Source organism: Homo sapiens, chromosome 7 (assembly GCF_000001405.40).
Source record: "Homo sapiens chromosome 7, GRCh38.p14 Primary Assembly".
Classification (NCBI taxonomy): domain Eukaryota; kingdom Metazoa; phylum Chordata; class Mammalia; order Primates; family Hominidae; genus Homo; species Homo sapiens.
Genome location: NC_000007.14, coordinates 48,642,964 through 48,669,817, shown reverse-complemented (window position 1 = coordinate 48,669,817; position 26,854 = coordinate 48,642,964). Strand labels below are relative to the sequence as shown.

At 38.8% G+C, this 26,854-nt stretch overlaps 1 protein-coding gene and 1 long non-coding RNA gene across 10 annotated transcripts in view; one reads left to right on the top strand and one right to left on the bottom strand.

The window, feature by feature from the left end:
• Positions 1 to 326: 326 nt before the first annotated feature.
• Positions 327 to 10,332, top strand: LOC105375272 (uncharacterized). Its single transcript, XR_927254.1, has 3 exons — positions 327 to 375; positions 6,420 to 6,564; positions 8,923 to 10,332. It is a non-coding gene; the product is annotated as an uncharacterized LOC105375272 (long non-coding RNA).
• Positions 22,321 to 26,854, bottom strand: part of ABCA13 (ATP binding cassette subfamily A member 13) — a 476,040-nt gene continuing 471,506 nt past the window's right edge. For 7 of the 9 annotated variants that reach the window (XM_011515130.3, XM_011515131.3, NM_152701.5 and 4 more), the window contains 3 exons: positions 26,425 to 26,530; positions 25,064 to 25,201; positions 22,321 to 24,401 (listed from right to left, as the gene is read on the bottom strand). In XM_011515130.3, the coding sequence (XP_011513432.1) occupies positions 24,306 to 24,401; positions 25,064 to 25,201; positions 26,425 to 26,530 (340 nt within the window). In that variant the 3' untranslated portion in view covers positions 22,321 to 24,305. Of the gene's footprint in view, positions 24,402 to 25,063; positions 25,202 to 26,424; positions 26,531 to 26,854 lie in introns of those variants that run through there. The other 2 variants (XR_926914.3, XR_926915.3) reach the window with 1 other exon arrangement.

Sequence of the window (26,854 nt, the reverse complement as noted above, 5' to 3'; positions counted from 1 at the left end):
AGTAACTCACCTACTCCTTCCTGCTCATGTTTGATCTGTCTTTTCCAATCTGAAGATGGTTTTTCTCCTTTTCACCAAAATTAGAAACAACATAGATACAGGCTCTCATAGGACTGGTTCTCTTTATTCTACCTCACATAGGATTATCATCCAACCTTTCTCCAAAATCTTGCTTACTATAATATGAGTTCACTCCAGAACCTTATAAGCAGCCTATTTGTCTCATTAGAGCCTCACTACATTACCAGGCCCCTTTTTGGAGCACACGTGAGGACCATCAGAGTATCGTGCCCATCCTTTGTGATGCAACACTTCTTCCGAGCTCTGAGGAACACAGCAGTGCCTAAGTTTTCTCTGAGATTCATGAGTCAGAAAGTAAGTAATTCTTTGTTTCACAGTGCCATAGTTACACTGATTTTATTGTCCAGTATGGTAATGATATTTCCAATCTTTTATGTTACAAAAAGTTTGATATTCCCTATTTCCTTATCTTTGAATACATGAAAATTTTCAGAACGTTTAAGTATTTATACAAAGGTGTCATCTAATTTTTAATTTTAAAAATGTATTTTTTGTTTTACTTTAATTCTTTTCAAAAGTTGGTTTTATAACTAGCTATCAGACTCTGTTGGGTGCTCTGATGGGCTCCTGATAACTTTAAAAATTGTGTCATTGAAATAGAGAACAATAACTTTGAGGACTCTCATGGAGAGCTGATGTGTTTGTAAGGATTGCTGGCCCAATATCAAGTAGAGCAGGAGTTAATAGCATGAGTTTTTACTCAAAATGTTGCTGATTACTTTGGTTTTGATTCTTACAACCAATAGTTTCCAAATTCTGGAGAAATCAGGTAGAGAGAAATGTGCTCCAAATTTTGCTCACAGGAGTATACTTTACTATTGGTGAATATTCTTAATTTATGGCAATATAGGTATTAGCTTTTATAGCAGAACACAATTAGAGACACTGGTTATTTTTACCAAGATTTTTACTGGAATGACATGTTTTCAGACTGCTTTGTGGAACGGAGGTTGATTTATAGAGCCAATAAAAGCCCCTTGGAGAAACTGGCCTCATATCTTGTCCTGTGCAGGGTTCCTGATCTGTGGCAAGTAAAGAATGTCACTTTCTGACAAGCCCAGAAACCCTAAGCTATTTTGAGACTTCAAGAAGACAGGAATTCACCCAATTTGTACAGGTATCTGTAGGCACAGATAAATCCTTGGCTGGGCTCAAGAGGCTTTTAAAAGGTTAAATCTCAAATTCCTTATGAAAATAATTCATTTTATGCAAATAATTAGGACAAATATAATGGAACTGAAACTTGTTTTGCAAATAAATTGGTGCTGCTGTGATTTGTCTTTGGTAAAAATAGGGAACTGGAGAGAGAAAAATTATGTCTCAAGTAAAAAACTATATTATACCTGTTGTTGGATTCCAACTCGGTCTATTGTTTTTGAGTCTCTACTGGTGACCTCAAATCTGATTTGTTTTCAAGGTCATTCAGCGGCATCACTCAAATTTTCAGGTCAGTTCTGCAGGGACTCCTGAAGCAAAGACCCTCACTCTCTTTGTTAGGGCTCATTATTTGTTTTTTAGTCTGCTGTTCTCTTAAGTGCTGTACTAAAACTGTAAATATGAATACTAATGTTTTTGTTATACAGACCTTGAGACCCAAACCAGGCACCCATAAATACATACAGACAACTGCAAAATTGTTTCATTCCTCTTATACTGTGGGTGACCCCTACCCAAACCCTGTCCTCTTTCAGTAGGAAGAAGTTAGATTGGTCACTGGCTGTTTCTCATCTCTGCAGCTCACACCTCAGAATTTAGGTATACTGAAGCCTAAGGCAGAGACTGAAACCAGCTTTGCAAATATTATGACAGTGAGAGAAGTCTAACATGACTGACTCCCCCTTGCTTCTAGCCTCACAGGCTGGCTCTCCTCACTCATTCCTGAGCATAGGCCAAGCTAACCATGGGAGGAAATTATAGTTTAATTTAGAAGCAAGGATAATGGTCTCTCCCTAAAATGGATTCCCTCTTTGTTGGGGGGCTGAAACTGCCATTGTTAGACTAATGAAAGGCCACAAGATTAGAATTATTGGAGAGGCCTACATTCTGCTAAAAAGTAGGCATAGTTTCTGTAATCTCTTACTGCTCAGGAGTCACGTGGGAAGAGGTCACAACATTTGTGACTTCCTCAATTGCTCCTGCTGAAAACATCACTATTGTGGAAGCTAAGATTGGTCTTTTGAGATGGTTTTCACACTGACCCCATCTGAACTTGTGACTCATGACTCAACCAGTCCTGTGGTCCCCAATCCAGGAGTGGACTCAATGTAAGAAGACTGCTTTCCACACCCCTATGATTTCATCCCAAACAATCAGCAGCACCTATCCTCTAATCCCCTGGCCACCAAACTATACTTGAAAAACTCTAACCTTCAAGCCTTCAGTGAGACCAGTTTAAGTGATAACACCAGTTCTCCCACTTGGCTGTCTTGCACTCATTAAACTTAATCTTTCTCTACTATAGTTGTATATATATAAATTGATTTTTATATATTATTTATATATATAAATTTATTTATGTATATACATATAAAACAACCTCAAAGTTCCATAAAAAATTGCAAAAACAGTACAATTCTTTTTTTATAAGCCATTGGAGTATAACTCCTAGTGTGTATGTCCTGTATGTCCTACAAAGACATGTTCCTATGTATACACAGTACAGACATCAATATCAGGAAATTACATTGACACATAACTACCATCTACACCTTAGACCTCACTCAAATTTCACCAATTGTCCAATATATAGCAAGCAAGAGATCCAATACTTAATCACTTATTGCATATCTTTACTATGCTTCCATTAGTTACAGCTCCTCAGATGTTTCATATCTTTCATGCTTTTGAGCCTTTTGAAAGATGAAGGCAAGTTATTTGTAAAATGTCTTTCAATTTGGACATTTCCTTATTATTAGATTCATAAGGAATATCACAAAAACAATGCTACTTTTTCTCATTATATCCTATAAGGTAACATATGATGTTGATTCACCCCTTTCTTGATGATATTCATTTTGATTGCTTGATTAAGATGGTGTCTGTCAGTCTTCTCCACTGTAATGTTACTATTTTCTCCTTTATAACTTATTTTTTTATTGGGAAGAACTTTGAAACTATTTGAATATCCTTTTCCTCATCAAATTTTTCATTTATTCACTCATTTGAAAAAATTATGTTAATATCGACTCATGGCTCATCATTTTATTCAACAAATTATAATAGATTACGATCACTAATACGGTGCTTAAATTGTCTCATATTTGGCCAGAGGAGCCTAATTTATCAATCATTATCATTTTTTGTGCTTTTCTTTACATTTTTGTGAAAACAAAGAAGTTCCAGGCTTATCTTGTACTTTCTCTGCCCCTGCCCTGGAATCAGCTATTTCTTCCAAGAGCCCTGGTGCCTGTTAGAGATGTGAAATGATCTTTAAAATCCAAAATGTGTGTGTTGATGTTCAGCAGCCTTTTTCAGTGAATTTCACTAGGGAATGTACATGCATATATGTTTTTATATGCACATTTACGTCTATATTTACTTTTAAATATAGACATATTTATTTTTATTTATAGATATTTGGAAATTAGTTTATACAGTTATATCCAAATGCAATAAGGTTCATTCTAATTTTCTCCCTTTTAGGATACTTAACTTTCTTCTCTGACAGTGAGAGTCTGTCTCTCAATATCCTCATATCATTACCTGTTTAATGGATTCCTTTGTATGGAACCAATTTCTTGTTATCACTCATGCCCCTCAGACATTCTATTTATTCCAGTAGAGCTCCAATAACCCATGCTGAGCTGTCACCTCCTTCCCCAACCCACTGACAGTCTCCACACAGCTGGGTCTCTGATAACCTAAGCCAGGACCCTGCCACCCACGGCAGAAAATAACCTTGCTCAGACCCACCTAGCAACTTTTGATCTGAATTGTTCAGAAAAAAAGGGAACAGAAAAGAGAAAATATTCTAATGTAATTTTAAATCTGCAATTATACCAAGTAGGCTGCAAATGTTGCTGTCTCAAGTGGCTATAGAGAGAGTGTGCATTTGGTTCTGCAGCTTTATTTCTTACAAGGAATCAGTCATTGAAGGCAAAGATCAAACTGTGGCAGTATCACAGACTAAATCAAGTGTAAGGTTTCATGGCTAGCTCAATGCAAAGTCCGTTTCTGAATGGGACTCCTATAACATCCCAGCTAGAGGTTAGCATTTGCTTAAAGAGCTTACGGTCATTTATCATTCACATTGCATCATCCATCCATCTGTGGTACCTATACATAAAGGGATTGTTTTGTTTTGACAATTTAAACTGCATTGGTTTTTAATATTTTTATGACAGGAGAGCTTACTTCTACGCTTCTTAGCAATTACCAAAATATCTAGAATTCAATCCTCTGAAGCCGTAATAACCCTTTTTTCATATGGGGGGGAAGGAGCAGAATCTCACTGGCTGAAGGCTTCTCCAGCTTAGTCTTCAACTGGCTCAATCTATCTGAGAAAATATCAGAATCCATTGAGCTGTTGAAAAAAATCCCATTTCAAACATCTGAATGCATTTAATACTTCTCTTTGATGAAAGTTCCAGAGAGATTTCAATAAGTGGAGAACCACTGGACAACCCTTCTGTTTGTCTCCCTACAGTTAATACAGTCAAAAATGATGGGCTTAATTAAGAACTCCCTTTCAGCTATTTCTGTAGATATCCTAATACTTCTTGCTTAAAGTCTGACACTTGTCTAAAAAATCAGTGCTGTAAGTGTATTTGGTTAACATCCTTATATCCAACCATAAACATTATTTTCAATGCAAATATTCTAGTAAGTTTTTGGAATATATTTGGACACTTTTTTGTGGGGGTGGCGGGAGGCACTAAACACCTTTGAGTCTAACATAAATTCCAAATTGCCAAGTGAATTGAAATTTCAGCCATGGCAGTTTGCTTTTATAAATCTCCTGTTTATTCCTTGAAGGTGACTCAAATGAATTAACTCAGATTCCTCAGGTAGCCTCTTTTCCCTTAGGATATTGTACTTTCCTTTTGTGAAGCATTATCATGTGGTATTATCTCTGATGTATAATCTTCTCTGCTTTCCTAATAGACTGTGGCTGCCTTGAGAGCTATAACTTAATCAATCCAGTTCTGAGTACAAGACCCCGCACATGGCAAGTGCCCAATAAATATCTGTTGAGAAATGAAGGGACCCTGGATAGGAGTACCAGCCTGGTCACCTAAATCAGGGGCAAATGCCTCATTGCCCTTGGGAGTGTCAGTCAGACTTGACTAAACTTGCAAATTCTTTGCTAGCTCCACCAGCAGTTTCACATCCAAGTGAAGAGAGACGGATATGTATTAACTTTGAATATATAGAATTTTACGTTGACAGCCTGGATAGGTACACCAGAAATAATAGCCTTTACAAAGTAATGACAGTGTCCTCATTCAGCTTCTAACTACTGGATGTCTCTCATAGCACCAGGGGTGGAATGCGTTTCTGGGTTTGTGTCAACTAACTTAGCATTACACATAACTTTATCTTTCAGGGTCAGTGTGTTGCAAACCACATTTATGGTTAGATCCTGCACAAGGCAACCTAGCTTTCTCTCTTGCAGCCACTACTTTAAACATAATGATCTTAAGTGTCTCGAATGGGCCCCACTCTCTCGCTGTTTCCCTGCTTGAAATGGGGCTCTCTGCACTGACATGCCCACCTTCAGCACTTTCTTTCATGGCTGAATCTTCCACATTCAAGTCTCAGCTTTTATAATTCTCCCTCCGGGGAGCCTTGAATTATCACCTATAGATGAAGCTCCACTTTTTCTCATAGTGCAGGACATCCCAAGATAGCCTTGGCTGACCCAGCTCTTCCTCAGTTTTCCCTTGTAAATGTCAGAATAACTGTGGGACATGCTGAGAATGCAACATTCTGAGATAAGGAGGAACTGGCTGGAATAGCCTGAGCTCTGTTCCTATATCTCCTAGAATAGAATGTCCCACAATGCTTTAGCCCAGCGATCCCAGTTTTTCCTGGGGTATAAACCCCAGTGCAGAATGCTTTTTGGATTCCTCAGCTATGGTATAATGTAGGGAACATGCAGGTGAGACTCCATCTATCCTACGAGGCTTTCCTGAGCTTTGAGAGATTGGCTCACCATGGCTTCTACTGTCTCTTGCAGCATGTCTGTGAGCAATAAAGTTGCTTCACTTGTATAAATTCTCTCTCACCAGACTTGTGCAAGTTGTAGAAATTGCAGCTCAAAATGCAGTGGATGAAAGCGTTTGGACTCCTGTTCCTCATGATTGACTTCATAATGATTTCTGCTGTTTTCCACGCAGTGGGAGCCCTCCCCTAGGACTGGTAACTGGCGCACCATGAATCTGCTTCACATATAACACCTGCCAGGTGTCCTTCAAAAATGTCATGTGCTCATAAACACTTCAAATTCTCAGTGGTTCTTTCTGAATTATAAACTCCATGAAGGTAGGGACTCTATTCATTTTTTCACTGTTCTAGTTCAGTTCCTAGCATTTGTATCCATCTTATGCCTAAGGTTAAAATGTGAAATCAGATGTATATCATGTATCACAGAGCCTAGCATATAGTAAGATTCAGAAAATTCTTTCTGAATTATTCAAACAATTTTCAAAACATGCCAGAGAGATGGTGATATAAAAGTCATTCACAAAGTTTCAATTCCATTTCTATTTCCTGAGACAGAATCTGAAGTAACTAGAACTTGTCCCATTAACTAGTTAACAAGTTAAGTCCAATTTAATTGTCTTTGACAGAGTCTCACACACAATTTGGAAGATATTTTCTAAGATGTAGGCTAGTGAAGATTAATGCTAATTGTAGGTCTCATTAACCGTGGCACAAAGCCTGCATTCTCCCAAAATCTTCCCCTGCAGACTCAGCTTCTTTTTCCCTCCATCACCTGAAGTCCACTGAGGTGGTCTCCAGGTCACCGTGCATTTTCTTGTCTTCTTGCCTTCATACAGGCTTCTTCTCTGAATGGAATGGCTTTTTTTACTCTTGTAGAATTGTACCCAGGCTAACAAATTACAGATAACCCAATTGTATTAGTCTGTTTTCACATTGCTTATAAAGACATGCCTGAAACTGGGCAATTTACAAAGAAAGAGGTTTAATAGCTTCACAGTTCTGCGTGGCTGGGGAGGCCTCAAAATCTTGGCAGAAAGTGAAAGGCACATCTCACGTGGAAGCAGACAAGAGAAGAGTGAGAGCCAAGCGAAAGGGGTTTCCCCTTATAAAACCATCAGCTCTCATGAGACTTATTTGCTACCATGAGAATAGTATGGGGTAAACCGCCCCGTGATTCAGTTATCTCCCACTGGGTCTCTCCCACAACAGGAGATAATTATGGGAGTTACCATTCAAGATGAGATTTGGGTGGGGACACAGCCAAACCATATCACTAATACAAATATATTTTGTTCAGAGGTATATTCTGGTATTCTGGTTTGGCACCACACCTTCTCAGTTATCTTTTCCTCCATCTCTCTACCTGATCACTGTTCTCAAAAAGCATCTCCTATCCCCTCCCCCAACATCTCGCAGGCATTACAAGTCATACCAGTTTTCTCCAGCTGCTGTGGCTCATCTCTGAGTACCCTTGTTTTTAACAAAGACCTCACCTCTGTAACTGTTCTCTTTCTTAAAGTCCCTTTATTTGAACCCAAAAGAATTATTTTTTTCTGTAGAAAACAGAATAATACAATCAGAAACAGAGCAATGTTCTCAACCAATTAGATTAACCAAAACACAAATTTTCTTTAATTCATTGTATATTTGATATAAATATAGTTTAACTATATAAACGAAAAACATTTCAATATAGACTTATTTTTCAGAAAATGAGAAATATATTTTTTCTCTTATATATATATTCCCTTTTATAGACACATGTATATGTAAATATATATTTATATATACACACACACAAACATATACACACACACATGCACATAAAAATTCTTAGAAGGAAAATCTCTAAGACATATTTTGATTATCTAATACATATTTTGATGACAGCTTCATTTCAAACAAAATAAAACAGCATTGGTCTATGACTCATCCTTCAGAATTCAATTCATCCTATGGTGCCTTCACTGCTTCCCTAGACAGAGCTGAACATCTTACCCAACTCCATTTTGCAATTTACTTTCTAACTGCCCCCAGCACATATAATGAAAGGTGGCCCAACACAGAAAAAGATGCTATGAGAACCTGAATTCCTCCTGTTGTATCTTCGCAAGGGCTGTTCTGTGCCACTTTGATGATAGCTCACACTTTCTCCAATCTCTTGGCCACTCACCATCCTTTCATTGACCCTGATTGCTCTTGGCTACATTTTCCCATCTGGGTGCTGCTTCCTGGAATCAACCCCACTGCGATAAGCATGTTAATCGTAGCCTGTGCCTAGGCATGGAGAGGTCCTCCACTGGTGGAAACATCTGGGCATATATCTTTATTTGGCTCATTATCAAAATCATTTGCTAAATCTCGCTATTACAGTACAATTTGTAATATGCTTGGAGCCAGAGACTCTGCTTACATTGTTTGTGTTTTAGATACTTGGCACACTGTAGCCACTCAATTGATGTTTCTTAGATATTTAATTCAAGAAATTTTGATGGAAAAACTAATGGCATGACCAAGTCTCTGCTTGGAAAGAAGGGCTGCTTGCTATACAACATAAATGTTTTCAACTTTATGGCTTAATCCCTTTTCATTCAGACAGTATGTTCAAATATATGCTTTAAATTCTGCAGTCTAATGTTTTCTGATCCATCTCTTTCACTCTTCTTCTTATTGCAGACCCAATTCCATCAGCAGCCATTGGAAGTTTTTGACAAAATGGGAAGATCACTGCTGTATATTTGTAGTTTAAATAGCGAGCATTTAAAGCTTTCTCTGAGGCAGTTTCTGGAAAGTTAAAGACTAATGAGAAAAACAGCTGAAGAAACTCTCCCCAATGAGTTTATGTCCCTAAGCGATGAATTTTTGAATGGTGCAATGTTCTAACATGTGATGGACAGCGAATTCCCAGAGAATCATCAAGTACACTTTGGAATAAATGAACAGCAGGACATATTTTTTAAGGAGTGCTGAGCCGCAGTAAAACTCCAGAGAATGCTCTAATTTCTTGATTTATTTCCTGGATTTCCTCCTAATAAACAAAGAATGATGAAAGCAAATATGCAAGGGCCAAGTTTCTACGGTCCAGCAATCACAGAATCATTAATGCTGTGATGCTTCCAAGAATATGGGCAAACAGCAAGAGAAAGAAACTAGTAAACTTTGAAGAAATCCCTTTGAGAAAATTTTTAAATGATCCAGGATAAATAGAAAATAATGTGCTGCTGTTCAGATAAATTTACTGGAGAAACCACAAAGATGAGATTGTTAAGGAAGAGTCAAGGGATGGGGACTATAAAATGCATATGCTTCTCCAGATAACACTGAGTTTTCAGAGTGGCAACCAACATTGCAGCTTTGAAAAGAAAAAAAAACACTTGGAAAGTGAAAAAGAAAGAGGGGAAATTATATGTACAATTATCAGAAAAGCAACATCTGAGAATTCAGCAATCACTAGCACATATGTGTGTTCTGTTTCGTTTAAACTCAGCTTCTCACCCTTGCTCAGGATGCCCTCAGTGAACTGCCTGTGGGTCTTTCTGTTGTTGCACAGCCCCTCTTGATGTCTTCCTAGTTGGAAATGCACACTGTCTGCAAGATTCCAGGCAGATGCTTTCTCCTGCACAAGTATTTCCCTGACCTCTACCTGGAAGCAATTTCTCCTACTTCCTGAAACCCAGAGGAGAGTATCTCTACTTCTCTAATTAACAAAACTGCTTCCCCACCCACCATGGTTACATACCGAGATATAGAAGAACCAGGTGAGCAGTGAGGGTTGAAGGCAGAGATGACAGCCACTGAGCAAACAATCCTACAGGGAATCCAGAGAATGGATAAACCTATGAGGGAAAGTGAAGTGGGAGAAGAGTTAGTGTTCTGGAAACCCGGGGTGTGACAGTAAGCAAGTGAAGAACATTAAAAGGGGAAGGAGTAAGGAGGAGAGGAGAGGTGTGAAATGGTCACTTGGCCTTACCTCTTGTCCTGTGCACAGTTTGCTTTACTGCATTTTTAGCCCAGTGCTGCATGACCTGCCAGTGTAAGGACCAGAAAATCCAAGGGTCTCACCTGGAGACCTCTTGGGATCACCTGCTGGAAGGCCATTCTGGAACATTCCGGAGCACTCTTATGGTGACTATGGGTAGATTTTCATGATTCTATTTTTATTGGTCCTTCATTATTATTGTAGTATTAACTAATAGGGCTGCCCTAGCTTTCACTGGAACCAAGCCTTGGTCATCAAAACTTGCTCAGCCTATTGGCATGGCCAAAAATATATCACAGATCCTCTTGGAAAGTCCACAACTCCTCCTGCTACTGCTGGAAGCGAGGATGGTGGACGCAGTCAGCAGTGAAAGGAGCCAGTGACAGAGAAGCCATAGTTGCAAAGGTACAGTGTGTTTTACCTCAAGAAGGGTGGTGAATTGTTGTAGGCAAACTCCACAATGGTAAGAGAATGACTCAGTTAGTCCATTTGTAGGAGCAGTAAGAATACAGTTATCATGCTAAGAATTAGATTCTTTTATGTTCTATCAGGTTGTATCCTCTAGGTCCTATATATACAGTGGCAGGCATATCCACTTATGCACAGACCTAGAAAATATCTATGCTATTGATTATTGTAAACCATCACAGAAGAGGGATACTGTATTTGTGAAAAGATCTTTGATCATACACGTGTTGCTGTGTCCAAGGAAAGGGAGTGGATGAAGGTGACTAGAGCTATACTTCATGAGCAAATGAAGAGTGGAAGCAGGGAGATTAATCTATCTGTGCATTAAGAACAAATGTTACAACTGCAGTATATTGGAGAATAACATGTCAGATACAGGACCACTGGAAATCCCCCAAGATGCCACATTCAGGATTTTGCATAAGCATTAGAACACCTGCAGAGTAAACTGTCTCCATATAATCCATATAACTTCATGTCACATACACTAATACGTTACACATCTCAACTAAAAATAGATCTTTCCTGATTTACTACCCTCAACCAATGCTATAACATTGTTATAGATATTAAATGTTTAATTGAAAAAATAACATGATTTCTTTAAAAAGCAAGCTAACAGCATCCTTTTCAGAGAGTCATTGTCACAAAGGCAACCTACCATGGTGCCTTAGCATTCCTGCCTGTTTTTGCTTGGTGTGCCAAGAATCCTGGCCCCTTTCTCAGGACTGTGTTTGTCCAGCATCAATGAAGGATGATGTAACAGTGCCACCAACCCCCATCCCCCAGACACAGATCATGCTTGCTTGTTGCTCTATGCAAATGCAATAAGTTCTCCAGGCTCCAGGTCCTGTTGCTGTCACCCAACCCACTTCATAGACAGGCATCATGTAGACCCACATGTGTCGGCCCATAAAACTTGGAGAGAAAGAGAAACCAGTGCAAACCAGAGTGAAGCTAATGCTGCTTGCTTCGCCATGAGTGATAAAGTCCTTTGTTTCTGACACAGGACTATCATGTCTTCTGCCAGCATTCGTGAAGCAATAACAGGTTAATATATCAGGTTGCAATTAGAATAAAAATCCCAGAAACTTCACAAACCCTGATAGTTAGTTGGAAGTTTGAAATCTAGAACCACATGTTTCACTTTCCTCTTCCTACTGAGAGTCCTGAAATCATTACCAATAATGAAACCTCACTTTAAACTCTGAGACTGTGTTTTCCTCTCCATACCTTACCTGGATGTAACCATCATGAGGGATAGGCATTCGGAGCTGGCCAGAGGAGATAGCCATCCTAAGAGAAACGTCTTTTGTCCCTTGCATCGCTTAAAAGTGGAGAGCATTCCAGAGCTTAGCTAGGGTAGATGTGAGGCTAAAGCACTTTCTGCCACTCCCCTAGTCTCACCACAATATGGAACCAGCTTTCCTACTTGAGACTAGTCCTGCTCTACCTGTGCCAGCTGGGTCAAGTGCTGGCAGCAAGGAGCATGGGTCCCTACTCCTATCTCATCTTCAAAGAGAACATTGCTGGATCAGAAAATGCAGCACAGATGCAAAGAAGTGGTCCAGAGAGGATAAAAAGGTTGGACATACAAGCTCCCTCACCCTTCTCTTGAACGAGGCTTGCAAAGTTCCTTTGCTCCACTCCAGATGTCAAATGGTCTCAGTGACTCTCTATTCCTTGGAGAAGTGGGAAAACTCCTCTGTATGTCACTGCCAGGAGACACACATCACACCCAAGAGGGCATAATCTAGATACACAGAAAGTGTGACCACCATCAATCTATTGCTAGGAGACAACAATGTAAAGTGACCCATGCAAACTTCCTGGAAAACCTGTCACATGACACCGTTTACTTGCTGCCAAAAGTGAACCTGGGAGATTCTGCTCTCTGGCTTCAATCTTCCAGAGCAGAGTGTAGGGCCAGTGCCTCTGGTACCTGCCAACCTACTCCTAAGCAGTCCATTGGGTGGTAGTGAAGTCACCTCTGAGCAGTAGTGGCTGCATTTTCCTCCTTTCCAACATATTTTTTAGACCCAGAGAGTAAATGGCTCAGACAAGGCTCATTAAACAAATGATAGATGTTCTCAGAATAATGGGCCTTATCCATCTTAGATATTGACTGCAAAGTGATGGGTGTGGGAAGGAGAAAGGATACTGGCCATATCTAGGAAGTGGAATAGAGATGTCCACCCAAAACAAGAGATGAGAGGAACAATACATTACCAATCCCATTGATAAGGACCGAGGTGATGCAGGCCAGGAGGCAGCATATCTGATAGAAGAAATCCACAGAAGTAACCAAAACTCTCAGCCAGCGGCTTGAAAAGGGAGAAGTTGTAAGGAAGGATAACTGTGGTCTGGAAGAGAGGCTTGCTCTAGCAGGCTGCTTATAGTGACATTTTGCCATCTCCCTTGGTGAAACCCTTTCCTCCCATTTCTCCTGATTCTTTATCCTTCTCTGACTTTCCTCTACCTCTGCTTCATTCTCACTTTTCAACAAGGGCTCATCTCCCTTTGTTCTTTGGCATTTTATTCTCCTTAGCATTTGTGTGTTTTCTTCTTTCTCCACACTTCATGTTTAATGAATGTCAGTCTTTTCACAGTTTTGATGTTACAGCTTTCTATATTTGCCAGATGTCTTCTCCCAGTCCATATCTCTCTGCTACATGTACATATTTATTTCTCTGCTGAACCTCTACCAATTTTGCTTTCTAAATCTCTCCCCATTCACCCGTGCTAGCTAAGGTCCTCCAGTATTGTCACTCAGATGATGGCCAAAGCCACCTGGAGGATGCTGGGTCTTTCCCCTTCTCTTTAATTCCAACTGGACCCTCGTGGAACACCAGGTTTGTCTGTCCAAAATAGGACATTTTTACTCCATTGTTAACCTTCCTCAACAGTTTCCTATTGACCAACAGGGTGTAAGCTAGAATGTGTATTGGGAGAGATTGTGCACAAGGCATTTGCTCAAGAACCATAGGAAAAAAACCTCCTGGAAGAAGGTCCCATAGAATTCATTGTTGGACTGAAGTCTCAACTCCAAAACATGGCCCTGGAGGCCCTTCCTGATCATGCCTTACCAGCCTGCCCAGCTCCAACTCTCACCACGCCTGTCTCAACCTGTGCTCCAGTAACTGTAGCAACCACCTAGACAACATCCTTCATCCCACTGGGCAGGCCCTTCCTAACTAGCCCTTTTGTTAGCATCACAACATACTGAATTAAAAGAACCCCTGCAGATACTGGTGGGACCATAGTATGCCTGAACATATGGATGTAGCAATTGTCCTCTGCCTGAGGTCAAGCTCACAAAGCAGCAAACCCTCTACTCCCTCCAACACAACCCAAGCCCCTGCCCCTCCGTCTTGCTGCCCTGAATAGGCACTCTTCTCAGATGACTTCATGTCAATCATGACAGCCTTTCTCTTTGGTCCTCTTTAATTTGAAGATTTTGGAATAGATTCTACAAGGGTTTGGGTTGAGCACCCATTGCTTTGCCCCACCCTATCCCACCCAGTTTCCCTTCCACACCCAGAGGCCCAGTAAATTCTTTCTCCTGGAGGAGGCCACATTTCTGGAAACACAGAAAGTGTAACTGATACCCTGAGCAGCACCTTCACCTTCCACCCTGTCTCCACTCTCTTCTCAAAGGGATTAGCTGGGTGATTAGGATTAGTGGGATTTTGTGGATTTGGGTTCTCTGACTGAGAAACACTTCATAACAGGGCCTGAACCAGGCTTATTCTTATGTGAAACAGCCATCTCCCACACACTTGTAACATAAAAAGGGACAGAATATTTCTAAGGAATTGTAAGTGCCATGAGCATTGAAAATAATAACCTATTTTTGAACTGAAAAATGTGCTTTAAACCTTTTATTTAATCTTTTCCAGATTGTTGATACTCTATTTGGCTTATAACTGAATGTGGTAGAGAATTAAACATTATCTTATGCTTTTATCCACATCAGATTGGAACTTAATTCTGTTCCTTTTTTAGCTTTATTTATCTGTATTAATTTACTGTTCTGAGACATAAAGATTTAGAACACATTGGATATGTACCGTTACAGATTTTTTAAAAGCTTGAAACACTATCACTTCCGACATTGAATTGTCAATGACTTCAGTGCCTCAAAATTATTCTGACATGCAAATGATGATAACTCCATAAGAAATGCCTTTCCTGAACTTATGAAAAGATGATGCAAGTTAATTTATTTATTTCAGATGGGTAGAAACATTGTCAATGTAGAATTATTCAAGTAGATACATTACAAAGCTACAGATGCTATTAACAGTCCAGGCAGCAATACAAACATGCTCTAGCCTGGATATTGCTGGGGTTCTTCTGTGCATTCCTTGCCTAAACTCATAAGTTTCAGTACCCACAGTGACAAGTGCACTGAGCTGGAGGATGGGGACACAATGATGTAAAGGAAGAGGGAGGAAACGAGGCCCTGTCCCCGACTCTGTGGAGGAGTAAACATAAAGTCAGGTAGAAAAAGAGACACAAAATAAAAAACAAGAACTGTAAAATGTCAGTGGCAATGATGACAAGGGTTAAAAAGAGAAGATAAATGATATTAAGAGAGTATTATAAGAAGTGATGATGGGGCTGCTCAGCTGTTCTGAGGACAGGGAACAACATGAGAAAATTCCTGTAGCAGGAAGGAGCCAGTGAGATCCAGGAAATGGGAGACCTTGGTGCAGAGAACGTGAAGGGTAAGGAAGGCTTGATCCTACTACACAAGGATCAGACGAGTGTGGACCAGGGATGTAAGAATGTGTCAGGAAGATTATCTAATTTTGGTTTCAAGAAGATCTGACTCTCGAAGATGGCATTATTTTGTCTGCATAGAGAAGGTACAGGAAGAGGCAAACAGTAGCATATTAGTTTCCCGTTGCTGCTGTAAGAATTTACCATGGACATGGTGGATTAAAGCCACAGACATTTATGATCCTATAGTCTGGAAGCCAGAAGTTGGAAATGGATTTCTCTGGGCTTAAATCAAGATATTGGCCTGAATCCTCCTTCTGGAAGCTCCAGAGGATAATGGGCTTTCTCATCCCTTCCAGCTTCTAAAGGCACCAGCATTCCTTGGTGCCTTGCCCCTACCTCCATCTAAAAAGCTCATCACTCCAACCTCTGCTTCCATCATCACCTCTCTTCTCTGTGCCTCTACAGCTTCCCTCTTTCCCAGATAAGAACTCATGTGATTACCTTGAGGCCACCTGGATAATGTGGCTATTGTCCCATCTCAATTAACTTAATCTCATCTATAAAGTCCCTTTTGTTATGTAAGGTACCATATTCACAGGCTCTAGGGATTGTCAGTCAGGAGGTCATTATTTTGTCCACTACAGGTACATAGGTCGAAAACCTAGGAGGCAGCAACCAGGTGGGAAGTAAAGTCTACTTGAACCAGAATGTTTGCAGTGGAGATGGACATAAAGGGAAAGGTTTGAGAGAGATATACGAGCCAAAGTTAACAGGACTTCATAGTGGACTGGATGTGAGAAGAGTAATGAAAATACCAAAGACAATGTTCATTGCACTGTTGAATTACAATCTGAGTCCTATGAGTGTGATAGTTATGCTCGAAAGGGATTAAGGTTTGGCAAGAAAGTGCATTGATTAGATTTTGGATAATGAGTTTAAAGGCCTTAAGGTCATTCAAAGGGAGATTCCGAGTGGATATTTAGAAAAACAGACCTAGAACTAAACAGCAGTTTGGCCACAAAACAAATCTGAGATATGGGCTATTGAACTGTCATCTATGCCTCATGCAGCAGCGAAGAAGGTAGAGAAAAGGGAGGAACTGGAAAAGGCATGAATACACCTTTTCTTGGAGGTGAGGGGATAAACAGAATGTTAATATTAGTCAGTCACCATGGCAGTCATTTACATTTGCTGTCCCATTTCATTTCACAGAAACATTGTGAAGTCAGCATTATTATCCCCAGCTTAATAAAATTGAAATTCAAGATGCTTAAGTGACAAAGTGTATTATGGATTGAAGTGTGTTCTCCAGAAAGATAGATGTTGAAGTCCTAACCCTCAGTCGCAGTGGATGTGATCTTATTTGGAAAGTCTTTGCAGAGTTAATTAAGAAAAGGCCATCACAGTGGACCCCAATCTAGCATCACTTGTATCTTGGTAAGAAAAGGAGAACATGATGTGAAGATAGATGTATACAGGGAGAGCACCATGTGACAGCAGAGCCCGAGACTCAAGTGATGCGTCTTCTGGTCAAGGAATGCAAAACAAGCATGGCCACCATCAGAAGCAAGAAGAGGCAAAAAAAGATTCCACCTAGCGTCTTGGAGGGAGCATGGCCCTGCTAACACCTTAATTTTGGACTTCTACCCTCTAGAGCTGTGGGAGAATTAGTTTCTGATTTTATTAAGCCACCAGGCTGTGGTACTTTGTTACGGAAACTCTAGGACCAAGATATAAGACCCAGTCTAACCTCAAAATCTGATTTTTATATTACACAGACCATTCCACTTCTGAACACAATATTTGGATTATTTTTTGTGTTGTGTAAATTAGTTTGCATGGACACTGTCTTAGGCAATTTAGGCTGCTATGAGAAAATACCATAAACCAGGTGGCTTACAAACCACAGATATTTATTTCCTCACAGTTTTGGAGGCTGGGAAGTCCAAGACCAAAGCACCAGCAGGTTCAGCGGCTGGTGAGGGCCTGCTTCCCCATAGGCAGTGCCTTCTCTCTGTGTCCTCATGTGGTGGAAAGGCTGAGGGGTCTCTCTGGGGCCTTTTTATCAAGGGCCCTAACTCCATTCATGAGGGCTTCACCCCCACTTCCTAAAATTATTACCTTGTGGGTTAGGACTTCAATACATAAATTTTGAGTGGGGACACACAGCTATTACTGACTGGTAAAAGCATTTTTTTTTTCATCAAAAAATTTCCCAATTACCAAGAGCAACTTGGAAGACCAAACAGAAGTCAGGTTCTGGCTGTTGCTGGACAAAGTAGGGCTGCACATACCTAACTGATAATTAGCTTAATTTAGGTCACTGTGTTTCAGTCAGAAGAGAGCAGAATAACATAAGAACAAAAGGAGTAGTTGCTATTTATGTAAGAGTAATGAGAGTGCCAAAGACAATGTTCATTGCACTCTTGAATTACAATATGAGTCCTAAGACTAGAAGGAAGATAAAGGGGTAAATTGTAAAAATTAAAAGAGGAATCTAGGCCGGGCATGGTGGCTTATGCCTGTAATCCCAGCACTTTGGGAGGCTGAGATGGGAGGATCGCCTGAGGTCAGGAATTCGAGACCAGCCTGGCCAACATAGTGAAACCCTGTCTCTACTAAAATACAAAACATAGCTGGGCATGGTGGCATGAGCCTGTAGTCCCAGCTACTCATGAGGCTGAGGTAGAAGAATTGCTTGAACCCAGGAGGTGGAGGTTGCAGTGAGCTGAGACCATGCCATTGCACTCCAGCCTTGGCGAAAGAGCGAGACTCCATCTGAAATAAATAAATAAATAAATAAATAATAAAAAAGGAATCTACAAAAATCCAGAGGGCAATGGTAGAGTGAAGCAAAAATAAAAGTTGAGATTTGAGAAGAATGATTCAGAAGCAAAGTTTATTGCCATGTGAAGGAGCATTTGCCTAAAAATGATACTAAGGAGAGGGGGAAAAAAAAACAGAAAAGTATAGAGTCATGAGATCCAAGGAATAAAAGGTATTTTAACAGACAGGTGAGAAGGTGTGAATTTTGAATTATCTGTTGGACTTAGGAAAATGGAGACCCTCAGTGATCTTAGCTGGGACTGTTTTGGTGGCATAGAGGGAGCAGCAGCCAGAGTAGAACAGGCAGAGAAGGCAGTCGGAGGTGATGATGGAACAGACGCTGGAGGGATGGATTATTGAGTGGACACTGATGTGGCATTGATACAGTATTTTATACAATGGGAGAGACTGAAACATCTTAAGTGTTGCTAGAAAGAACCTAGCTCTAAGAGAGATAAAATATACAAGACAGAAGAGAAATAATAAATAACGTTTCCTGAGAAGGGCACGCTATATTTTGACAGTGTAGCACAATTCAGCTTTTAAAACTTCATAAATATTATTAGCTGTATCATATCAGATTGTGAAAACTTACTTGTAAGTTTAACTTTCTAATATAGATTATCATATTTTATGAAATATTTTTTCTGCATTTGAGAGCATTTATTACCTTTGAATGGAATGGATTACATTAATAGTTTCTGAGTTTACATCACAACCGCATTTTCTAGATAAATCACATTGTATTATGAGAAATATACTACTGATTCTATTTATCATTAGTTCTGTCTGAATCCATGTTCATACATTAATTTCTCCATATTTGTCTTTTCTTTTATTCTTGGACAAGTTTGTGTGCCAATGTTATACTGGTGTCTAAAATGAGATAGAATTTGTTCATTTTCTGAAGTAGCTTGTGTAAAATAGAGAATTTATCTCTTTTAGAATGACACATTTGTAAAACCATCTGGGTCTGCTGTATTGGGATGGGACACTGGTAGGGATATACTTGTGATGATATTTCATGGTTGATTCATTTTCTGGAGTGGCTATTGTTTTCTTGAGACAATCTTGATTCCTAACTGTTTACTAAAAATATTATTTGTTTTTGAATATTTTGCATAAAGTTTTTCATATTATTCTCTTATTACTCTTCATTTCTATCTTTAGATATGCTCCCTTTTCTTTTCTAAAATTGTATATTTGTGCACCGTCTGTGGAAATTTGCTGATTTCATTAGTCTTCTCAAAGATCTTGTCATGATTGTAAATGTGAGGAAAATGGAAGGGCACAACAGCAAAAGGGCTTGGAGATCCCACTCTGATTGGCAGTAGAGCCAGGTCTCCTGATGCCCAGCCTATGAACTCCCCCTTGGACTTGCTGCCTTGCCCTAGCGTACTACCCTAATTCACTTAAACTTATGCTGAGGCAAACAAAGTTTTTACTTGGTTATGTGCGGGTAGAAAAAGCTGCAATGTGACACTAAGTGCAAGTGTAAACAGATTGGAAGCAATGACTCCTCACCCTGCATTGAACCCCGCAAAGAGTCCTCAGTGTTTCATGAACAAAACCAAGGAACAAACAGAACCCCACCAACAACAGTTGTCATCCATCAATACCAAGCCACACCCATGGAACATAAATGTGAAGGCCAATATGGGGTTCAGAATGTTGCCTTGTATTGGAAAGAAGAATATGCTCATAAAATTTCTAGATGTGCTTTTTAACCATTGAGTTTTGCTAGGTTTAAGATGTACCTTTAACTCAGTGGACCTAATTTTTCTTTAAAACATTTTAATGTAGAGTGTTTCTTTAAAACACTTTAACAAAAGAGAAAAAATGTGATAGATTCACTTACAGTGAAAGACAATGAAATGTCTCTTGTGATGGCAAGCAATAGCAAATAATTAAGAAAAATGCTTCTGACTTCTTTCTGTAATTTGCAACCCTTTCCAGCAAGAGACATTTATTTATTAAAGTTCTCAAGAGGAATTCTCACTGTGAGAAAATGACAATGCTATTTATTTAACCCAAATGGGAAATATCCATAAAATTTTCTTCTCTTTATCTACCACATTCAATTTGACAGTAATGTTTATAAATATAAATGATATCCGCTCCACAGATCTTAGCATACATCTTTAATCTTGAAAATAGTAACACTCTTAGAACCTAGATTGCCCAAAATAGCCACATAATTTAACACTACCTGGTTCATTCAACATGTCCAAAATTGAATGCATTCTTTTCCCAAGCAAAATGGCCACAAAACTTCTCTGTTTCTTTAGTAGTGACTGCTGGTTATCTATCCAGTATCTGTTTAGTTCTTCTCACATAGAATCAAAACCTTCATTTTATTTTAGGGTGGTCAGAAGCCTGGATAAAGACTGCATTGACCAAACACTCTTGTAGCTAGTTAGCGTCATGTGAATACTTCCAGGTGATGTAATATAAGCCTAAGTATGCAGGTGAGGTTGCCAGGGAAGCTCTTCAAATAGATGTGCTATTATCCCCTTAGTCCAATTTTTCTTTTATTTCATCTTTGAATATTGTGATAGCTAGAGATCTAGCGGCCATTCTGGAATGTAAGAGAAATTCTAAAAATGAGACACCTGGGTTCTTGATGTCTACAGAAACCACTATATTAGCTATCGTTCTCCAACATAATAAGCAAGCATCCATTGCTCATTAAATATTTTCCATTTGCTCTGATATTCATAGCCTCAGATGTCATTTCCCCCATTCTCAATCTGCAAAGGCCCAAGCAGGTGGTAACTATCTCACGAGATTTGTTCCCACATCCTCCATGAGAGTGAATCATTCCGACCCCATGTCAGGGAGTACTCCTTGCTTGTAGATCTCATCTTGCCATCTCCACCTGCTTAAGTGCTCCTCAAGGACAATGATTGTGGCTCTGCTATTGATTAGTCCACCACCCCATGTTTATAGTACCCACTACCTACTTATGTGCATGGAATGAGATCAAAGGTGTTAGTTGAAGGAATGAATGTGTGTTTGAGTGTGCATACATGTGCATGTGTGAGTATGTATGCTTGTATGTGCATGTGTGCATATGTATGTCTGTGTGTATGTGTGAAAGGGCTTTGAATTATTCAAGTGTGTGAAATTGAGTTGTAACAAGTCATCAAAAAAATCCACTGAGCTGAAATAATGCAGCAGGCCAAAGCAAAAGCCAAAGGAGAAACATAGTTAACCCAGTTTGAAAATTTAAAGTGTCTGTAACTCCTACTTAGGCAGAAACATTTGTGATTATGCTAATATTCATGTCATTCTCATTAACACTAATAGTGTGCCTATGGGGGGAGGTTGTGGGGTATGTATGTGGCTGTGTATTTTCTAAGATGTTTTGTAAGATGTCATGTTGAGCTATTTTTCAATTCAATGCTTATTAAATAAACTACCTATGACCTTAAGCCACCTAGTCTTTACTATGCTAAAATACACTTTCTGTTTGCTTTTTACTATCTTGATTTTGCATGAAAGTTTTCATACATCAACTGTTTAAATATCTGAGTAAAGATAATCTATATAGTAAATGCTAGATTACTAGAACTGGGATAATCACTATTATTTCTGTTTCATAAAGTACTCTACTCAGAATGATTTCAAAAGAAGGTAGTCTGTTTAAAAGTCTCAGTTGTGTGACCTTAAGCCCAAAGGTCTTAAGACAAATGTTTAACTCCAAAGGCGTTAAATACCTGCATGACTTATAAATGCAATGACATTTTCAACATTAACATAAGATTTGACCTTTTGTATCCAGTCTTCTGGGATGTGGTGTTTTAGCATGTTGGGTTTCTCTTTCTTTCTGTTTATTGTTCAAAGGCATACCTTGAAGCATAAACTTCAAGAATACAGCAGTTCAAAAACCAGAAAAGAACCCCTAAGAGCAGAATACAGCAGAGCAAAACTCAATTAAATTTTAACCTTTCAAACTTTAAAAGATTTGGAGTAGCTTCATTTCCTGCTTACTTAAATTAAATTGGATCCCTAAAGACACAAATAAAGATACAAGAAAATATATTGGCAAAAGCACAATTACATTCCAAAAATCGGGTTAAATTAAAGCACATCTCATTTATTCACTGCAGTTTAAACACATTCATGTTTCACAAATTGGTATTTATTGATTCAACAATCATAAAAAGATTACATATTTCCTTTTGACAACTAGACTATGTTAGAATTAGAGAATAAATCATACAGCCATAAACTGTAATTTATTTAAGGAAGTGTAATTCATGTGATACATGGGAATCAAAATTGCTCACAACAAAGCTATCAGTGATTGTCTTAATCCTTACCGTTTAAAAAATATCTTTTGTATAGAATGATATTTAGGAAATAGAGATTTAATGAAATCTTGCTTTAGTAAAGAAATCTCATAAGGAAGTATATGCCTTTGATCACAAGCTACCGGTACTCAACGTTAGTGTTGAAAAAGGCCAAATTTTAAAATAAGATTAATGTGATTTTCTATTGAGGATTCAGAAAAATGTTGTTAAAAGAATGTTGAGAAATGTCTGAACTCAGAAATGTCTGACTGGAAACTATTTCAGTAGTGGATTGATTTTATGCATCTTACTAACTATAGGATGAAAAATTCAGATGTATATAGTCTTTAAGAGCCACATCTGAGCACTCTACATCTGACAATGCTTTGAAGACAACAATTCTGAGAATGACATAATTTTTACAAAGCTTTTAAAAATATATTTTAAAATAAACTACGGCCGGACACGGTGGCTCACGCCTGTAATCCCAGCACTTTGGGAGGTGGAGGGGGGCGGATCACAAGGTCAGGAGATAGAGACCATCCTGGCTAACACGGTGAAACCCCGTCTCTACTAAAAATACTAAAAATTAGCCGGGTGTGGCGATGTGTGCCTGTAGTCCCAGCTGCTGGGGAGGCTGAGGCAGGAGAATGGCGTGAACCCAGGAGGCGGAGCTTGCAGTGAGCCGACATCGCGCCACTGCACTCCAGCCTGGGTGACAGAGCGAGACTCCGCCTCAAAAAAAAAAAATAAATAAATAAAAAAGACTACATACTATGCAGATTTTGCTTGTATAACTAGGAGGTAACCAGACATTCCCTTAGGTCATTGGTTCTTAACTTGGAATGTGCTTGTTTAAGCCCCAGAATTTGAGATTCAATAGGTCTGGAGTGGATCCTGAGAATGTACATTTCTTGCAAGCTCCCAGAAGATGGCAATGCAGCTAATATGGGGACCACTACGCTTTGAAAAACACTGACTTAGAATAACAAAAAACAGTAATTATTCATCCAAATGAAGAAAAAGAAAATGCATCTACATTTTATTTCTCTACCCTCATAAATTATAACCTGGGAGATTCTGGTAGAACTACTGTAATTGATACAGAGTAACTAGTTCAATTTAATTAATTTTGCTAAAGTGTATACTAAAAGAGCTCTTAAAACCTATTTTTTTAAAAAGGTATCTTTTATATGTAAAAAATTGGTGATTTTTTCATATCATACCATATAATGTCATCAGTATTAATAAAAGCTTACATTAAAATCATTAAAAACATGTATCTAGTAAATAGATGACAACAATAGAAAATAGTCCTTGTTACTATTTTCTATACAAACAAGTTACTAAAGTTTTTTAACCTGTGGGGAGGGGGCTCAGTTTTCTTAACAGAAAAGTGACATGTTTAGAGTGGACATGTCACACACACTCTAGTGTGACAGGCTTTCCAGCTCCAGAATGTCTCAGTTTGGACACTGTCAAATCATTCATGCCTTTGTCACAAAGAAGCTGGTGTCCATCTGGCATGGTAAAGAGAACAAATGTTTTGGAGGAGCTCCCCAAAAGTCTGCAGAAAGAATGACCTTTCCATTTGGTGGTTATTAACTAACAAGGAGATTCAAAATAGAAAATGAACAAGAGAATAATTTGACGGCCTGGAGAGTGTGTTCCAGCTCCTTGATTGTGCGCGTGCTTGTTTTATCCTTGACTGTTAATTGTAATGGAAGACAAGGTTTTATTCCTTATGGAAACTTCTTTAGTGCTCAGATGGGCAAGTGATGTGTGTGGTGACTGTCAGTGGATGGATCAAGAGTAGATTGTAGAGTTTGCTGCTGCTCAGAAGCAAAATTAATAAATACCTGAAAAAAACCATAAAAATGTTGTTTACTTATAAGAATACAACCCTTTGGTCTCACTTATTAGAAAGGAGACATTGTCTCAGAACACTGGCCAACTTGCCCTAAAAACCACAGATCATTAATTCATACCATTCCCTCCCAAATCACATAAATATATAAATCCATTGAGGACACAACTCTAAGAACATTCATATTTCTAGACAATTATAATAATAAATCACCTAGAAGTTCTCAATACCTTAAGCCTGGTTTTAGAAATATGTCGTGATGTATTTTTATATTCCTGGTACTCTTAGTAAATGAAACGCTTTTTGTTTCCCCAGAAGTTAGCTATCATTTGATTACAGTGAAGCCCCCCCGAAAAGTCTTGTGGGGCTGAGTAAGGTGGAGATAGGAAGGTTAACGTGACATGATTTAATTAGTTAAATGCCCAAAATAATATGAACAAATTGAAACTCTACTGAATATCTATCTTAAGTAGAAGGGTATACAGTAAACAAACTTTCTGACACTCACCATCCTTATCATAATTTTATAAAATTTAACAAGATGAATTGAATAAAGTGGTGAATTGAAGCAATTCGATTAATTTTAAAATTGGCTACATTAGGTCTGATGAACAGACCAAAATTCAACCTCCTGAATCATTCAAGATACTATACCTGCTCCAAAGTGGTTTGGTTAATGGAATAATGCTTAATATTCAAGAAGGTTTTATTGTTCTCTATAACTTTGAACAAGTCAGCTAGGCATCCCCATCTTTTTGGCACATGATATTCTAATAAATTCAGGTGCTGTCCCTAAAAGCAAAAAAAAAAAAAAAAAAAGTATCATATAACTAGCATTATTAAACAAAATTGATCATACTACATTTAATTGGCAAAAAAATTCAGTTACGTTTTCTCAACCTACACTTAATTTTGTGAGTCTCCAATGAATGCTTATTGATGACAATTTTTCATGGGGTATATTTGACAAACAACGTTCAACTGAGTGGCATTGCTGTTCTGCCCCCTGATATGCTCTAACCTTGCAACAGCATGGGGAAGCCCTGTTTAAGGAATCATAAGATGCCCAAAGATATTTGAAATGTAGGAATTTAACATGGCCTAACAGAGACGGATGGAAGGGCCCTGAGTTTTACACTGGGACTTGGGCTTATCTCTCACTATTCTCATCATTAGCTGAGCAACACTTGGGAAGATATTTAAACCTCTGATCCTTGTCTTCATGTATGCCAATGGAGATAATTATGTCTGTTTTATAGGGTGACTCAGAGTCATAATTGAGCATGAATGACAGTCTCACACAGCATGCTTCTTGCATAGTAGGATTTCACTAAATGACAGTTGTTGAAATAAATAGAACATAACTACTTTATGGACTACAGCCTCCTAGAAGTTATAATAAACTAGCATCCCACAGTTATCCAAGAGATTTTTAGACAGTGCTTCTCAAACTTCAGTGTTCATAGGAATCTCCGGGTCACCTTGTTAAAATGCAGATTCCCATTCAATAGGTTGGGGCCTGTGATTCTGCATGTCTAACAGGTCCCAGGCAATGAAGATGCTGCTGGTTCAGTGACCATACTTGATGACAGCAAGTTTATAGAGGATTGTGATCTCAAGCATAGGGCTATTTCTGTGAAGCAATGCTGAAACCATCAAGCCTATAAACCCTACAGCAAATATATGGAAGAGATTAGCTTTTGCAATCTTCTATGCTGAACAAGATGAGTTATGCAATGGACCTGTGCCCACAGATAAGAGGCGTGATATGTAATCACAGGCTGCTCTGGCCAATCCAGGAAGCAATTAAGCAGGCTTGTCACTCTTCAGAGTGGTCAAGCAATATCAGCTATCCATGCTATTTTTGGTAGGGAGGCAGGGCCTATACTTTGCAATGTGGCTAAGGTAACAAGTAGTATCTTATAACAGCATAGAATAAAAACAAAAAAAGACAGGTACATTTATTATTTTTTTTTAGCTGAAAACAAAGAAATAATACAAGATATTAGCACTACCTTGAACTGAATTCCTGGAAAATAAAGCTTCAAGTGGTCAGAAACAGTGCAATGTTGATTTGCTTCCTTACAGAGCCAAACTTTGACTGTATAACCATCACCAAACCTGAGAGTTAAATAAAATAGAAACATGATTATTATCATATTGACCTAAGATGAGTAAATTCTAAGTCCATTTTCACACAGAGGGAGAAAAAGGAAGTAATTACTCCAAATTGTTGGGAGTTTGGATTCTCAATATAAGACACAGAAATTAATTGTAAGTCAATTATACAGTTAGTTGTTTTCCATTTATATTGACACAGACACTGAATTACCTTAAAAAAATTATCAGCAAGTCCCAGAATCAACACCCAGTCAATAAAAGAGGGAAGGTGAAAATGCAAACGGTGAAAGCAAAGTCCTGAGCTAGTGGAAGTGGGAAGCTGGG